Below are 18,410 nucleotides of genomic sequence, written 5' to 3'. Positions count from 1 at the left end.
TAATAATAATAATTAATGGCAGCAGTGGTGGTGGTGGTGGTGGTGATGATGATGACGATGATGATGCCGATGATGACCACAGCAAGTTTTTAAGGATTTAAATCCCGCATTAGGAAACTTTCTTAAGTTTCCTTCTCGTAGATCGTGTGACCTTGGTGAAATATCAACTTCCTTTATTTTAAGCCTTTCATTGGCTATGAAAACTAGGATTACAAAAATGAAACGTAATTTTATCTGCCACAGCATCTTTAAATAAATCCTTTTCTTTCTAAATGAATTTAGACAAATGGTCTTGTTTTCCCTTGGCCCCTTAATTTCAAAGAGAGAAGTGAGTTAACACCCTGTAATTCAAGCTTTTCAATTTTATTTATTTTTAATTGCTATTAGTGTGTGTTTATATATGGACTCTCTCTCTCTGTCTGTCTGTCTCTCTCTCTCTCTCTCTCTGTCATATATATATATATATATATATATATAAAATTGGGAAGCAAAAGGCATTTTATAACTTTCAAGCCCTTTGGCATACTTCCTGGAAGTCTCAGTAATGACTATAGTTACTCTTAATTGCCTTCAACACACTTACATGAATGCTACATTCAGTTGAATTATTTCCTGGATTCCCTCTAATTAATCTGATAGCAGCTGTTTTAAGGCCTGTGCTGATTAACAGTTGCAAGACAGCTAAATGCCTAGTACAAGAAAAGCTCACTGAAGCTTACGTATGTTCATCCACATAATTTTGTCTTTTAGGCATCAACATTTCCAAAAGGATCTTCTATTTTTAGACAACTTTATTGTTTGTTTATATAACACAAATGGTTTCTCCCTAACATAGGGAAATATCATCTCAATACATATAATATTCTAATAAATATTATGGAAATTCAGCATCTCAAAAAACAAATATAAAAACACATTTTAAAGATTTAAAGGAAACAACAAATAGGGAGGCATTACAGTGTATATTTGTACCAGCTCCACTGTCTTGGTTCAGAAAGTATAAATGAACTTTATAAAAGAAATAATATATTAAATTAGTGACTCATTTAAAGTGCTACTAGGCAAACTTGTAATGCCAAACTGCATGTACTTGATACTTTATTCCTTTTAACCTACAAAAATGGCGGTTTATTGCATTTCAGCCTATATGTTCAATTCAAATAACCACACTTAAATGACAGTTTCTGGAATAAGCAATGTTTAGGCTGCATTTGGCCTGTTAGAAAATTAAAGCTCTGATTTTGTCATTCCTCTATAAAAGCTTTCAAAACATAGAATTTCCTAAGATATTAAGGTCAGATCTTATGTTCTGATTAGTTCCCCCCACTGTGCTGGATTTTGGGCAATCGAGATAGTTCCCACCTAATTCCTATTCCTTCAGCTCACCCAGCAAGTGCCATTCTTTCCTTGCATTGTACTATTCCCTCACACAGCCTGGAAATCTCTATTGAAATTCTTTAAGGTAAAGCTTAAAGCCACTCCTCAAAAAATTATTTAATATTCATAAACTCATATTCCTCTCTTCAGAAAGCATAAGCCATCAAGGCTGGCTGCAGGCCCAAGGGAAGTAGTTGAGGGTCAGCTTCAGACCATGGCAATGGGCAAGGTTTTCAGATATCATGATGTGTAGGAGGATGCCAGAAATCCAGATATTAACGTGATATCCTAATTTTTAAATGTTGGCAACAAACAGAATATAAGTTTTAAGCCCTTTGTAGGTCAAACATTATACCTCTTCTGACTGGCTTCTGCCTCTAATAAGTCACTTTGGTGGCCTTTGCCTTAATCCTCTGAAGAGGAAATGACCTCTATGTGGGGTATTCTTCCACTGCACCCTTGCTAATCTTTACATAGATTATCTTTCTACACTGTATTATCGGTGTGTGTGTTTGTGTGTGTCATGCAGATATTTGGCACACAGTGGAGCTCAAATAATGTTAACTATTAGGAAGTAGCAGGCATAGTACAATGCCTGACAGTGTAAGAACTAGATTTCAAATCCCCAGTTGGCCGCTCCCTAGGCGCATGATCTTAGGCAAATCACTTATCCTCCAAAATGCACAGTCTACTTGTCAGAGATAATATGGTAATTTACCTACTTTACAAATTGTTGTGAGGAGTAAATGGAATGAAACATGTACAGTACTTATGCAAGAGCCCAGCTCAAAGCGAACATAAACAAATGTTACTTGTCATTATAATTACTATTATTATTAGACATTTAGCATGTGTGTATATATATCATTTTTGTAAGCATATTAATGCATAATATACACACTCACACATTACCCACTTTCTACAGAATTATAAGAAGGCTTTTTGTTTAAACTTCATGCCCCTTTTGAAAAATCATAGCCTGAATGTTCTTCATAATAGTCCCAAATTTGAAGCCATATCCAAAAAAATCTCCATTCCAAAAGAATGAATAAAAAATTACTGTGTATTTATGTGAAAAAACTCAATAAAGAAATAAAAATGAAAAACCAACATACCTAACAAGAGGGATGAATTTTTTAAACATTAAATTTAATAAATGAAGATACACACAAAAATTGCCTACGGTATAATTCCATTTATATGAAGTTCTAGAGCAGTTAAAATTAATTGATGGTAATAGAAATCAGAATGTAGTTTACCTTTGGTGTGTACCTAGGAAATGGCTGGAAGGAGCATGAAGTAAAGATGTGGAGTGATAGAAATGTAATCTTTTAATCAGGATGTGAGTTACACATATGCATACATTTATTAAAACTTAACGAATTACTCACTCAAGATCTACATTTCATTACAAGAAAACTTCACCTCAATAAATAATTTGAAAGTGGTTATTGCATTAAATACATGCTGTACTTTTCAGAAAACATTAACTTAATGTTTACATAAATGCATTATTAAAATTATAAAATGATATTTGAACCCATAAATACTGAAAGTTTCTCAAGCCCACTACATTACATAAAAGTCACCAGTAGATTTTAAATCAAAGTCTATTTCTCCTTCATTAGTTGCACATGAAATATCGGGGAAAAGGCCCAATTGCTTTTTATGTCCATTCATCTGCTATCCCTTATTATGTTACATGTTGTACATGAAATCTATAGAAGGTAGTTAAAGCTTAGAAATTTTCTAAAGGATTGTGGAGATTGTGAAGAAACTCAATTACATCATAACATTCAGTAAATATAGATATTTGAATTATATTGAATTGGTATTGATCTAAAGGGATGTGCTATCATCACTAATCACCAGAGGAACACAAGTCAAAACCACAATGAGATACCATCTCACACCAGTCAGAATGGCTATTATTAAAATGTCAAGAAAGAACACATGTTGGCAAGGTTGCAAAGAAAAATGAACACTTACACACTGTTGGTGGGAATGTAAATTAGCTCAGCCACTGTGGAAAGCTGTTTGTAGATTTCTTAAAGATCTTAAAACAGAACTACCACTTGACCCAGCAATCTCATTACTGAGTATATACCCAAAAGAAAACAATTCATTCTACCAAAAAGACACATGCACCCTCATGTTCTTCACAGCACTATTCACAATAGCAAAGACATGGAATCAGCCTGGGTGCCCCATCAATGGTGGACTGGATAAGGAATATGTGGCACCTATACACCATGGAATACTATGCAGCTGTATGGTTTTTTATACAATAACGAAATCATGTCCTTTGCAGCAACATGGATGCAGCTAGAGGCCATCATCCTAAGTCAATTAATGCAGGAACAGAAAACCAAGTACCACATGTTCTCGCTTATAAGTGGAAGTTAAACATTGGGTACTCATGAACATAAAGATGGTAACAATAAACACTAGAGCCTACTAAGGGGGTAGGGAGGGTTGAAAAACTAACTGTTGGGTACTATGCTCAGTACCTGGATGACATGATCATTTGTATCCCAAATCTCAGCATCACACAATATAGCCAGGCAACAAACCTGCAAATGTACCCCCTGAATCTAAAAAAAAAAAAAAAAAATTGAAAAAAATAAGAAATTTAACAGACATGCTGGAAGATACTTTGAATACAAAAATAAACTACTAAGGTTTTAAAAAAAAAAAACCTTGACCAACCCAATATAAGGCTTTAAATGTATTTTAATTCTCTAAAATAGAATATAGAAAAATAGGTTATTTCTTTTCCAAATAAAGGCAACTTGTCAAAGTTTACTGTAATAAAACTCTGTACTTTTCAAAATATTTAGTAATTTAGACTTGATTTTTCTCCAGTTCAGATGAACTTGGAGGGATTTTCCAGCTCTTCTACTTCTGGTTTATTTTTATTAAATGACAACAAATGTTTAATTTTGGAAAGAAACAGTTTTCAGGACGAAATGAATAATTATATTAAGATTCTGAAAAGAGAATTTGGGGGACTGTAAATCTTTATATTAAAAAGTATTGAGTAGAATAAAAACAAAAAGCAAGTGAATTTCTTCAAATACTTAAGTCCTAAACTTTTAAGAGTACTTCGAGTAAATAAAGACATTGATCTCATAGAAGTAGAGAGGAGAATAGTGATTACCAAAGGTTGGGAAGGGTAGGAGGGAGGGAGGATATGGAGAGGTTTGTTAATAGATACAAAAATACGGTGATATAGGAGGAATAAGTTCCAGTGTTCTATAGCACTGCAGGGTGACTAGAATTAACAATTTACTGTATATTTTCAAATGGCTAGAAGAAAGATTTTGAATGCTCCTAACATAAAGAAATAAATGTTTGTGGTGATGAATTTGCTAATTACGCTGACGATCATTACACCTTGTACACATGTATCAAAATATCATACTATACCCAATAAATGCGTACAATTATTATATCAATATAAAATAATAATAAAAAAGAATAAGTACTTCAAGCATATGAAGCACTATTGTAATTATTTAAAAAACTGAAACCATTAATAGCTTTTTTAAAAAGTTAAGTACAAAGTAATCAAAAATTGTCAAAATATTATATCATAAAGAAAACAAAAATATTAAAATGAGAAGTACTTCTGGAATAGTGGAGTATGAAACTCTGAAATTCTTGTTTCCATGAAATAAAAAAATCCAGAAAATTATCAAAATCAACTTTTTCAGAACTCTGAAAATTAAACAAAATCTAGCAACAATCTGAACAGCATTTATTCAAGAAAAATGGCTGACTTTTAGTAAAAATAACAAACACTGTTATATTTTAACTTTCCCTATTTCCATCCCTCTTTCCCCAAGTCTGTATTAGCCTTGAAAAAAACAATAGCCTAGGAGCCAATAAAGAGGACAAACTGGTTTGGAGCTCGTCACAAAGCTCCATCCCCAGAGAACTACTACTATTTTATCTCTCTGGTAGCTGGCTGAAAAACCCCATTCAAGAATTTCTCTTTATTTCACCTGACTCAGAATTTGCTCAATGAGGAAAGTTCTATCCCTAATATGGCAAAAACTATCAGTCTCAATTATTTAGCCTTGCAGCTGCCTTAGGTGGTGAAGCCACATGGGACAAACAAGAAGATAGACAAAAAATGTAAAAGAAAAATCTATAAAATGAGATGGTCATAGGAGGCCTTGCAAAGCTCTGAAATATTTCTGGGGATCTAGTAGGCTGTGAGTAAGTTCAGAGCTATAGTCATGCCCAGAAAAGACGTGAGATCACCTTAATCTCCCACCTCTACACAAGTTGGAAGAAAAGGCTAAGGCAGAGTTGTAAATTGCCAGAATATTGAAAATGTGCTTACACATACAGACACACACACACACACACACACACACACACACACACACACACACACACACAGAGAGAGAGAGAGAGAGAGAGAGAGAGAGAGAGAAACCCTGGGCAAAGGTTGGGAGAATTACTGGTTCAAGGCATTTTTAAAAATTCTCAATCATTACCTGAGCAATGAATTAGCCAAGAAGATATTTCAGTGGCTGTGCCTTAAAAAAGAATACAGACTCTGCAAAATTAGTTAAGGAAAGTTGCTAAACAAATAAACAACTACACAAACCCTGGAGCTTCAGGGAGGAGGACAGACTTGATTTCCAAAGTAGCCATGTTATATGATCTAAAGTGTCCCATGTTGAACAAAAAAAATTTGAGACACATACACACAAAATAGAAAAGTATAGCCCATACACAAGAAAAAGGCCATCAATAATAACTGTTGCAGAGGGAGCCCAAGTACTGAACCTACTAGACAGACTTGAAATCAGCGATTGCAAGAATATGCACATAACTAAAGAAAACCATAGTTAAAGAAATAAAGGACAGCTTAATAATTGTATCTCATCAACCAGAGAATATTAATAAAGAGATAAAAATTAAATAAAGGAAGCAAATTTAAATTCTGGAGTTGTAAAGTATAACAACTAAAGCAAAAAATTCTCCAGAGATACACCATGGCCAATTTGAGCTGGAAGAAGAAAGAATCTGCAAACATGAAAATAGATTAATTCAACTTATTCAGTCTGAAGAACAAAAACAAAAAATGTAAATAGACCTGTAACAAGTAAAGGCATTGCATCAGTAACTTAAAACTTGACACAAATAAAATTTAAACCTCCCACACCTCACTGGTCTATTCTACCAAGCATTTAAAAAAGAATTAACATCAACCTTTCAAAGATTCTTCCAAAACATCAAAGATGATGATAAACTTCCTACCTCATTCCATGAGGCCAGTACTACTCTGATACCAAAACCAGACAGAGACAATTCAAGAAGTAAAAACTACTGACCAATATCCCTAATAAATATAAATGCAAATTCCTCAAGAAAATAATAGGAAATAGAATCCAGCAGTATATAAAAAGCATATATTATGACCAACAGGAATATTTCCCAAGAGTGCAAGGCTTATTTAATATCTAAAATTCAATCAATGTCATACACCATATTAAAAGAATAAGAAACCAAAACCACATGACCATCTCAAAAGATGAAAAAAAAAATCTGAAAAAATTCCAGGCCGGGCACGGTGGCTCACGCCTGTAATCCCAACACTTTGGGAGGCCGAGGTGGGAGGATCATGAGGTCAGGAGCTCGAGACCAGCCCGGCCAACATGGTGAAACCCTGTCTCTACTAAAAATACAAAAATTAGCTGGGCATGGTGGCGGGTGCCTGTAATCCCAGCTACTCCGGAGGCTGAGGTAGGAGAATCGCTTGAACCTGGGAGGCAGAGGTTGAAGTGAGCCGAGATTGTGCCACTGCACTCCAGCCTGGGCAACAGAGCAAGACTCCATCTCAAAAAAAAAAAAAAAAAAATTCCAGCACCCTTTCATGATAAAGCATTCAATAAATTGGAATCAGAAGGGAACTTCCTCAACTTGATAAAGGGCATCTATGATAAAACCATAACTAACATCATACTAAATGGTAAAGGGCTGGATCCTAAGATCAGGAAGAAGACAAGAGTTTCCACACTCACCATTTCCATTCAACACTGTACCAGAGACGTTAGCCAAGGAAATTAGATAAGAAAAAGAAATAAGAGGCAACTATAATGGAAAAGAAGAAAAACTATAGGCATTAACAGATGACATCATTTTATATACAGAAAATACTAAGGAATCTATACATATACATGAAAAACCTATTAGAGCTAAAAACCAAGTTCAGCAAGGATACAGCATTCAAAATTAATATAGAATAATTTGATTTCCATACACTTACAATGAGCAATCTGAAAATGAAATTAAGAAAACAAATTAATTTACAATAATATCAAAAATAATAAATCACTTATGGATAAATTTTAAAAAAGAAGTGCAAAAGTTGTATACTGAAAACTGCAAAACATTGTTAACAGAAATTAAAGACCTAAATAAATCCACTTTCATGGATCAAAGGATTTAACACTATTACAGTGGAAATACCCTTCATATTGATTGACAAAGCAATCCCTATCAAAAGGCAATCCTTTTCAACATCTCAGCATCGCTTTGGCCAAAACTGACAAGATGTGCCTAAAATTCATCTGGAATTACCAGCGACCAAGAATAGCAAAAACAATCTTGAAAACCCGAACAAAACTGGAGGACTCATATTTCCCAATTTCAAAACTTACTGGAAAGCAACAGTAATCAAGAGTGTGTGGTATGAACAAAAGAACAGACATCGGTGGTCCTAAAATAAACCCTCACATTTATAGTCAATTGATTTTTTATTGATAAATAATAGTTGTACATATTTATATTTCAAAATAGCTAGAAGAGAAGATTTGGAATGTTCCCAACACAAGTAAACGATTAATGTTTGAGGTAATAGAAATCCCAGTCAACTGATTTTTGATATGGCTAACAAGACAATTCAATGTGGGAAATAATAATCTTTTCAACAAATAGTCTAGGGACAACTAAAAAAAACTCTCAAGTCAACCAAATTAAAATATGGGGAAAGAATTTGAAAAGAAATTTATCCAAAGAAAATATACAAATGGCAATAAGCACATGGAAAGGAGCCTTTTATATTCTAAATTATTTTATAATGCTAGAAACGTGTTATATTTTAAAATTACTTGAAATGATAGTGAAACTATTAACAGGCCATACTTTGTTAGATATTTCACTGAGATGGGACTTCATATAGACTGATGTTCACATATAACGATTTCATGAAAAGTACTAGTTTATATTCAATTTCCTCACATTAAATGTTGACTTTGATGTTCTTCTTGTCTGAACTCATTGGCAAGATGAATTCTAAATTTATCTTTCAATTTACGACAATGAAACCAGGATGTAGCTCTAAAAGTAGCAAAATGATGAGTATTACTAAATGTACAGACCATTCTAAGATCTAGTCCCAGGTCAAAAAAAAGAAGAGTAAACTAGTGGAGACACATACAAATCAGAAACTTTCAAGACATTTGCAAAATTATACTGCTAAGGAGAGATAAACTGTACTTATAAAAGTGTTATTAGAGAAAACAATTTGACATAATACCGCAGGTGAAAAGTGGATTTTCACAGGTAGATTAAACTTTTAGAATGACTAAAACATACAACTGTTGCTTAAAATAATTCAACTCTTAATTAAGCTAACAGAAGAGATACAAAAATGTCAATGACATTCAATATTTGTGGGAAAGCAAAACAACCCACATTTTAATTACTTCTCTAACTTTATCTTTGCTGTAAGTACAAATAAATGAATAAAACTTTTCAGTCCTACTGACAGGAGAAATTAATTAAATGTACAAATAACTACCACGTAATATAGATCCTCTTCACAGCCACTGTAGGTAAAGGTAAAATTTAATTGTTCAAATTTTAGAAAAAAGATCAAGACAATTGGGGGTTCTTTTTATGAATTAAAAAATAACCTAATAAAGTCAGAAGAAAACTTTTACATAGTCTACATCAAAATCACTTCCTGTTTCATATTAAATGTGTAATTTGGAAATCTTCTATTTTTAGTCCCATCTGTAATATGAGTAAACACTCAACGTAGTCTATTCTAGTCTTGATTAGACTAATGAGTAAAAAGACAGCAAATTTTCCTATACATAGCTCTGACACTCCCAGCCTACAAACCTAGTTAAGAATGAGATTAGTTCAGGTTTTTAAATAATATAAATGTTTAGGAATTTAAAATAATGGAGATTATTTAAATAAAAATATGTAGCTGAAGAAAATATTTATGCTTTATATGTATTTCTGCTGAGCATGAAAATATGGCACATCAAAAAAAACTTCTCAGAAAGTGTCCTAATTATAGTAAATTATATATTTTGCACAAATAGCAACTTCAACAGCCAATGTGAAAACTGCCTATGTTCAAATAAATTCAATTTAATTATCCATGCTGATCCTCTCCAATATTTACACAGATAATTAATGATCTTTACAGCATATTTAAGATTATAGACCTAATTCTTATAATTGGGCTGCCTCTGAAACTACTTGAATATGCAAAGAAACTTTCACACAAGATGTACTGGTTCTCTCTCCCTATATTACTACTATGGTGTAGGGAAGCTTGTCTCCAGTGCTAACGGAGCTAAAACATCCATGTCTGCAATAACAATATAGCATCTGGGAGCAAGAATAGGGATTCTACAGGTAAAAGGTTTTAGAACCAGCTAATGTACCCCCCTAAAGAGTTGGCTTCATGATCCTGACTCTGTTCTGGTATTTTCATGTTTTAAAATACAATATAACCTTCCCATAAGAACACTATATCACTGAGGCATCTATTAGGTGCCAGAGAATCACAAAAATCAGGATACCTTTCTCTGTTGCAAGGGGATGGCAGGGTGTCAAAAATGACTGTTCATCTTGAAAGTTAAGTCAACTTCAGAGTAGGTCTAAGAGGCTAAAATGTGGATACTTAATAAATTAGCAAGTCAATGTATATAAACATTGTACATTATTGTACATTGTACATCATTGGCCTCATAAAAGCATTTTTAATACCATTAAGGAGGTAGGTTCTGTCACATAATGTGGAAACTGCCTCTAGGAGTTTCACAAACATGCTAAATGCTAGTTAAGCTACATGAGAATACAGAAATTAAAATTTACATTTTAGTCCACCAATGGATATTCTTAGGGTTTACACTCATTTCGTTTGTCTCACATTTCCAAGTAATATATATCAACCCTACAAGATAGGAAGAATGATATAAATTTTCTTTAATAATTGAATGAACGTAACAAATACATTATTTGCATCTGGCAAATCAAATAAGAATTTACTTTCTGAACACTGCACATTTTTAAGCCTATTACAGAACTTTGCAACCAACAAATTTAGGTAAAGATTTTGATAACAGCTTAATATTGGTGATTTGTGCCTATAAATAAGCATTCATTCTTCCTCAGCATTTCCATAATTTTGTATTTCAATGATGAAATAGTATCAGTGCTCAGAGAAGCTGAAATTCAAATGTCTTACTATATCAAATCTGTGTCATTCACTTCAGAGTCTTACCAATTTATATTATTTACAAAGAAGTAATTCTTGAACCATCCATATGTTTACAGGAATGCAATTAAACCTTATTGAGTCACTGCTACTATATTCAAAAAAATAGCATACTAATCTAATCAATTACTATTCACTGCTTATTATCAGGAGGCCAACGTGATTATTCAAAAGTACATTTTCAATACCTGAAGATTTACTTAATTATATTATATATTATACATTCAAATGTTAAAGATTCTCAAATATGCAGGTGTATGCTTTCCAATGAAATGGAACCACAATAATAATTTATCCTCTTGAGTGTAAAGAGGAAAATGTTCTGCAACAGTAAAAAGAAAAATTAATGACATGGGCAATTATGAAGTTTGGGGAAATGGTTATTTACATATCTGTCAAAGCTACTGAAAATGACATATTCCAAAATCTGCATAGATATTCAAGCATTAGGGGCACGGAATTTCCCTCAATATTGGATTAATACTCCAAGTATCACGATGCCCCTATTATATGAACCATCTTTAAAGAAAGCTCTGCAGGCTCTCATGCTATTGTGCCATTCTCTGTCAAAGGTAATGACTGATCAAAATGCCTGCTGAGATGACTATCTTATAGCAGCATATAAACATCCATGCCTTTTCATGACAACTTCATTTCTAATAAATGTCAAATAAAAGATACTTCTAAAGAATTATCCTGCTGTATATCAAGTTCTCATTGGCCTCAAAAAAGCATTTTTAATACCATTAAGGAGCTAGGTTCTGTCACATAATGTGTTAATTGCCTCTAGGAGTTTCACAAACATGCTAAATGCTAGAATTCTGCTGTTGTGTAGTTGGAAAAGTCACAGTGGAACATATCCTCCTGGAAGCTTTTAGAAGACAGCCACCTTGGCATACACATCTGCATACCCTTCATAACATTGGCACAGTGTTTCTCAGTCAATATGAATGCAACTAATGAATACACAAATACAGAAAGGGTATGTTGCATAACATACCCTGGATTACTTGATCTATCCAACATAACTATAATAGGGTTTTCAAAAATAACTCAGAAGCTATGCCAGAAGGTGTTTCTTAAAATCAGAAAAAGTCTCCTAATGAAATAAATTCAGGAGACAGTCATTTAGGTATAGTTGGCTGGCAGGTGAATTCTTCAACACATATCTTAAATCAGCACAGCCACATACAGTGTAATTTTAAATAACATCACAGTAATGCTATTATTTATACTTTGATGTACAAAACATCGGAGCAGGACTTAGGAGATATGAATCTGGGCAGGATGTGTTTTCTCTTCCCTGGGTGGTGTGGTAGGAGGATAGGACAGAACACTACACAGTTACATAAAACACAAAGCAAAGAAAAATGACTACTGCCAGATACAATAACAAAATTCAATAGGGGGAAGGGCAGAATTTAAAAGGGGTTGAGACACATAGGATTTGTGGTATAAATAATTATTAATTTGAAGAAGTCACCATTGAGATACAGACCTTGAATAATGATAAGAAATTCTGACTAGAGTTTTCAAAGAAGGAATTTCAGACACCAAAGAAAAAGCATAGCAATGGGAGAGAATAAAGTATGTTGAGAATACATAAAGTAAAGGGAAAAACTTTGAAAAGTAATTTAGGTTACTCTTTTGGAGTACCCAGATGGTCCAGATGATGAAATCAGGGGGTCAAATGATATTATTTGAATGGAATCAATTCAAGTGGTAATAGGAGCTTAAATTGAGGTGTAGGTAAATTAAAGTAAGAATCGATTGGAATAATTTTACAGAAAACAAGTTTGAAATGCAAATAAATAACCTTTATGAATCAAGGCATACTTTTGTAAAACAATTTACATTTTTAAACAGGCAGAGGGTACCAGTAAGATTGAAAAATAAAATGCAACTGAGATCCAATGGTGGCAATCTAAGTAGACTAGGCAGAATAGTGGCCCCCAAAGTGTACACATCTTAATCCTTAGAATATGTGAACATGTTACCTTACATGGCAAAAAGGACATGGCTGATGTGATTAAGTTAAGGAACTTGAGATGGGAAGATTATTCTGGATTCTTCCAGTGTTCCCAATGTGATCAGGGAGGCAAGAAGGTCAAAGTCAGAAAAAGGAGATGTGATTACAGAAACAGAGCTTGGAGTGAGGGAGGAAGGAGCCACAAGGCAAAAAAAGCAGGCCTCTCTTAGAAGCTAGAAAAGACAAGGAAATTAATTTTTCCCTAGAGCTTCCAAAAGTACACAGTTGTGCTGACACCTTAATTTTAACCCATATACCCCATTTTGGACTTCTGACCTCTAGAAATCTAGGACAATAAATTTCTGTTGTTTTAAGTCACTTAGCCATAATGCTTACAGCAGTAATAGGAAATAAATATACTAAGAGTTATCATACTTAGGTGGTGGAAGAAAAAATTAGAACTAAGAAGGGGGAAGGAGCTATCAGAAAAATCGGAAGGCAAGTTGGAGACTGAAGTACCATAATAGCTATAGTTACAAAGCCAGTTAATAGTTGGAATGAGAGGGCAATCAAGGAGAATGAGATATGAGGAAATTAATAAATCTAAGGGCTTTAACAGGCCATTAGCAATCTTTGAATGAACAATCACATAAGTTACCGTCAAGATCTGGTACATTTTTGTCACCACCTTTATTCAATAAATAAATGAGATAATATCAACGAGATCTCCTAGAAAGCAGCCAAAGACATCTTGAAGCTAGGGCCATTGAAATATAACTACCGGGAAGGAACAAGGACATAGCATTAAAGGACTATAGAAATCTCAAGAGGTATTATGAGATGGGTTGAAGAAAATGAAACACAATGAAAGAGAAAATCCTTTTAAGAAAGTTCTTGATCACTCTCACTCTTTTCAGCAGTAACTATGGAATTCTGGGAAACTCTTGGGTTAAAAGAACAGTCTCGGATGGTCCTCGCATGGATACAGCAGCTTGGTATATATCTGAGTTGGTTATAAGGAAAAGATGTTGTGTCACAAAAAATAACAGGGGTTGGTGGAAGTGGTACTGGACCAAGATGCAGGGTCCTGATGATGCCTTAGCAGCTGATTATGACCTATGGCCTTGGGTACACCCCTTCCATCCCTTGTCCTTATTTCTTCTTCTGTAGCAAGATGCAGTTGGACAGGGCATTGTTCAAGGTCCTTTTAGTTCCCAGATACTTTATCATTGGTGAGAATTTTTATCTCATCTATGTCCACCAGCCATCTCCCACAAGTCTTCCCCTCCTGAATTAATAAGATATCCCATGGCAACATGTCCTCCCCGAATGAAACAGAAAAGCTTGACCAAGGAGGGTAGATGGGAAGAACAATTTAAGGATGACAGCACTATGTGGAAACAACTGCATTAGGCACAACAGCAATGTGTCAGGAATAAGACAGTTCCTTGTATCTGATAGTCTAACACAGGGGTTGGCAACCTTTTGCTATAAAAGGTCAGATAGCAAATATTTTAGGATTTTCAGGCCACATGAGGTCTGAGTCACTTATTCCTTTCCTTTTGTTTCTACACCCCTTTTAAAAACTGGAAAAACTTTTCTTAGCTTGTGGGCTGCACAAAAACACGCTGTGGGCCACATGTGTTCCACAGGCAACTGCTTTCTAAACCCTGGTTTAACAAGTCATTATCAATGTGTACACAGAGAACTAATATAAAATTTGATTTAAAGGAGGTTAAGGAAAAACTGCAGACAAGGTACTATGAGACTGCAGATGAATCCTTTTTAGGAGAGTTCTGGAATGTACATGATGAGGAGCTCTTTGAGGGAACCCTTCCTGTGTACAGTTTAGTATCTTCCAAGTCAATCGTATATCACCCCAAAACAAACTAAGTGGATGGTGGGAGGGGAAAGCAGGGAACAGAGCCAACATAATCACAGAGGAATCAAGCTGGAGACCTAATGCTATCAAAACCTCTAACTCAAACTATGAACCACGCTTAAAGCCGACCCTGTGTCTGTGTATATTGGTTAAATAATAAACATATTCATCTCTGTCATAATTTAGGCCAATTTGATTTAGATTTTGTTTCTTCTGACCAAAAGGATGCTAACTGAAGCAATGTGTAAGAAATAACCCCTTCCATCAGTAAACTTCACCCAATTTCTGGCCCTTACACCGTGGTACGCATTATCTTTACATGCACAACCCATTACTCACCTTACACTAGGGCTGAAGAAAGCCAGGGGTGTGGTGAAGCTTAGAGATCAAATGAGGCTAGGAAATATTTTGGTAATATTACTTGCAAAGGAAAAAAGTTTCTTTTTGTCTAGGCAAAATGACTCAAGTCCAAATAACCCACATCACAATGTACTGCTTTACCATACATATCTGCATTTCTGTGTACACTGACAATACTGCTTAGAAAGTGTTCTAGTACACTGAGAAATGTCTTTGGGAAACTTAAAAGATTTTTGTAATTTTACATACTGTTACTGGAACTACAATTTCTGCTGTAGGCTGAGTAATGGACCCTCAATTTTGTCCACATCCTAATCCCAAGAACCTTTGAATGTTATACTGAATGGATATTCTCCATTAAAAAAATCTAGGAACAAAGTAAATATAGATAATGTTCAGACAAACACCCCACAAACAAGAAGAACTATCATGAAACTTCTCCAACTTTTATATGTATACATGTGCATGTATTAATTAAATCTAAATTCAAGTAAATGCCTAACCATTCCTGGTTAGATAATTTCAAATCAAGTTAAAATGTTTCAATTTGTCCTAAATTTGTTCTTTTAAAAATGCAGGCATTGGCTTTAGTTATATTTCTTTTAATATTTTTTACCAAACACCTCTCTGTGCTTGACAGCGTCCGGTGTTATTATTTCATGCTGGTTTATATGTTGCCTATTGTCAACTCAGCATCATTACGGCCCCTTTGTACTCTCTATCACAAGGGGAAACCTGTAACTACATTTTCTGTAACTCCTTTCCTTGTATATTCCAGAACTGTTTCAGCCAACTCGAAGCATTTGTACTTTCCTTGGGGGTTGAGAGAAAAATGGGCCATTAGTTTCCAAGGGCAGCTGTAGCAAAATCAGATGACAGATGAGGAGTCCGTGGCAGCTCCTGAGTGAGCTCCTCCTGTGAACCACCCACTTTGGTGCACATATAGCCAGCAATGGCTTCCTGATCATCCAACATTCTGATTTCGTGAACTCAAATGCTAGCTTCCCTGACCTCTCTGTTTTCAGTTTTTCCATTGGTTATGTAGTTCTCTAATTTCTTAAGTTGAAACTCTTCCGACTTAAAAAACCTGAAATGATTTCTGATTTCCTGACTAATATGTACATTTACTATTTGTATTAATCCCATGATATAATGTGTTGTTCCTATTTGAATAACAAGGCAGGTAGATGAAGCAGTGAGTGGTGTAAACCAGCATTGCACCAAATGATATATGTCACTGATGCTCAGGTAAGTGAGAAACATCAAAAGTGGTAATCCAGGCTCTGCAACCAATTAGATGCATACCGTTAAGTCAGTCACTTCATCGTCACAGACATCAGTTTCCTCACTTATAAGGAAGAAGCAGGTATAGATTATCTTGAGGGTCATTTTCAAAAATAGTCATTTAATTATATAAATATCACTGTTACATCAGGGACAAAACCCACTGGTTCCACAGTGGAGTAAAGTATCCATTTGAACAAACTAAAAACAAAACCCCCAAATGGTTATCTTCATACATTTTGTAGATTTTGTTTTCATCATTTTTATATTGAGAATATAAAAGGATAATTTGAGTAGGTAGTATTTTATAGAGTAAACATAGACTGTTCTCTGATAAAGTATCTTAATTCCATTAAATGTTCTTTCATTTGTAGATACAGTACATGTATATATATATATATATATATATATATATATATATATATATATATATCACTATGTTTATGCAGTAATCACAAAGGTAAAAATAGAACAAAAGTTCTTTATCTGTGGGGAGAAAATATAATAAATCAAAGACTTTATTTAAAAGCTCCAATTTGTTTCCCTTGGTATAAATGGAAAAAACTATGCAATTCTTAATGTTACATATACATATATTAATGAGTATATAAAACCTGATAATGAGTATATTTAATTTTGCCTCTGGAGTTATCCTTAAAAAGTAACCTGCATCCTAGGTTTCTGGAACAATTCTGATCTTACACAATTTTATTATTTTCCACAGAATGATTTATATAACTAAATGGGATTTTAAATACCTGCAAAATGTTTATAAGCATTTACAACTAAAAATCTCTTGCCAGTGATGAATTCCTATTTCTTATTACAAAAATTTAGACTTCATAACAATATGTGTATGGCTTAAACTTCACTTTAGTTTATCTTAAGAGTGTATATATTTGTTTTAGCCAATTTGGTTATACAGGCTTAGGCAAATCTTGCTAATATTACGACATATTCTTCAGTACATTTTTAGTTGTAATAAAGATATTTACCTTAAAACACCCTTCAGTAAATGAAGAAATTGTTAATAAGAAAAAATAAATTAATTAGCTTGCTCCATATAATTATCTTGTCTGCAACACACAAACATGCACATATATAACAAACATTTTGAATCACTTGACATATCAAGATTCCAAAAAAATAATTCTTAAAGGATCCGAAGATTCATGGGTTTTTATTTTCTCAGACACATCTATACTTCTTTAAGGGAATAATTCATTATTTTTATAGTATAATATCAGAGTAGTTTTAAGATGATGAACATGTCCAGGTATATTTCCTGGGGAGTGGGTGTTTGGAGGGACTGACTTGTAACTCACATATAAACACAAACATAGTAGCATGCTTCCATGGTTCTTGTAGAGTTCCTGCATTTTTGGAGTAAATATCGAGGAGACAGAGGAATAAAACTATGACATCTAGCTTTAAAATACTTTTACTGATCCCCAATATGAATAACACAGGAACTATGTACATGCTTCCAATATTTCACAAATACCTGTTCTGTAATTTCTCAAGATAGTACTAGAGAAACTAGAGTGTACGGGAGAAAAAATAATGGACGTTCAGAAGCTAGAGGTCATACTGAAGACATCAGTCAGATTATAAGACAGAAGAAATTTAGCTCAGGAACTTAAGTGTAAGTCCTATAATCACTTAAAAATTTCATGAGACCTTTTAAATAAAGTTAACCTATTTTACATACAGAATTTATTAGAATCAAGTTATAAATCCTTAGCCCTAAGTCACCTGAGAAACAGCAAACCTCAACCAGGACTTCAGAAATTTTCAGGCATTAACCAATTTTCAGAGTCTAAGATGAAAGCACATTTGATGTATTTATGTTGTTGTATTTCCATATAAAATATAATGTATATATATAAATTAAATCAAATTCTTACACTAAGCCACTCATTTGATAAAACTATTTTACAGAGATGTTCCCATCTTTACTGCCAGTTTTACAATGTAGAGTACTTACATTTGATATT

General features: G+C 33.8%; 1 protein-coding gene across 2 annotated transcripts in view; it reads right to left on the bottom strand.

Moving 5' to 3' along the window:
• IL1RAPL1 (interleukin 1 receptor accessory protein like 1) overlaps positions 1-18,410 on the bottom strand; it is a 1,369,273-nt gene that overhangs the window by 1,119,905 nt on the left and 230,958 nt on the right. The window lies entirely within an intron of this gene.

Source organism: Homo sapiens, chromosome X (genome assembly GCF_000001405.40).
Source record: "Homo sapiens chromosome X, GRCh38.p14 Primary Assembly".
In the NCBI taxonomy this organism is placed as follows: domain Eukaryota; kingdom Metazoa; phylum Chordata; class Mammalia; order Primates; family Hominidae; genus Homo; species Homo sapiens.
The sequence above is the reverse complement of the archived record's forward strand: the minus strand, read 5'-3'. Positions and strand labels throughout refer to the sequence as shown.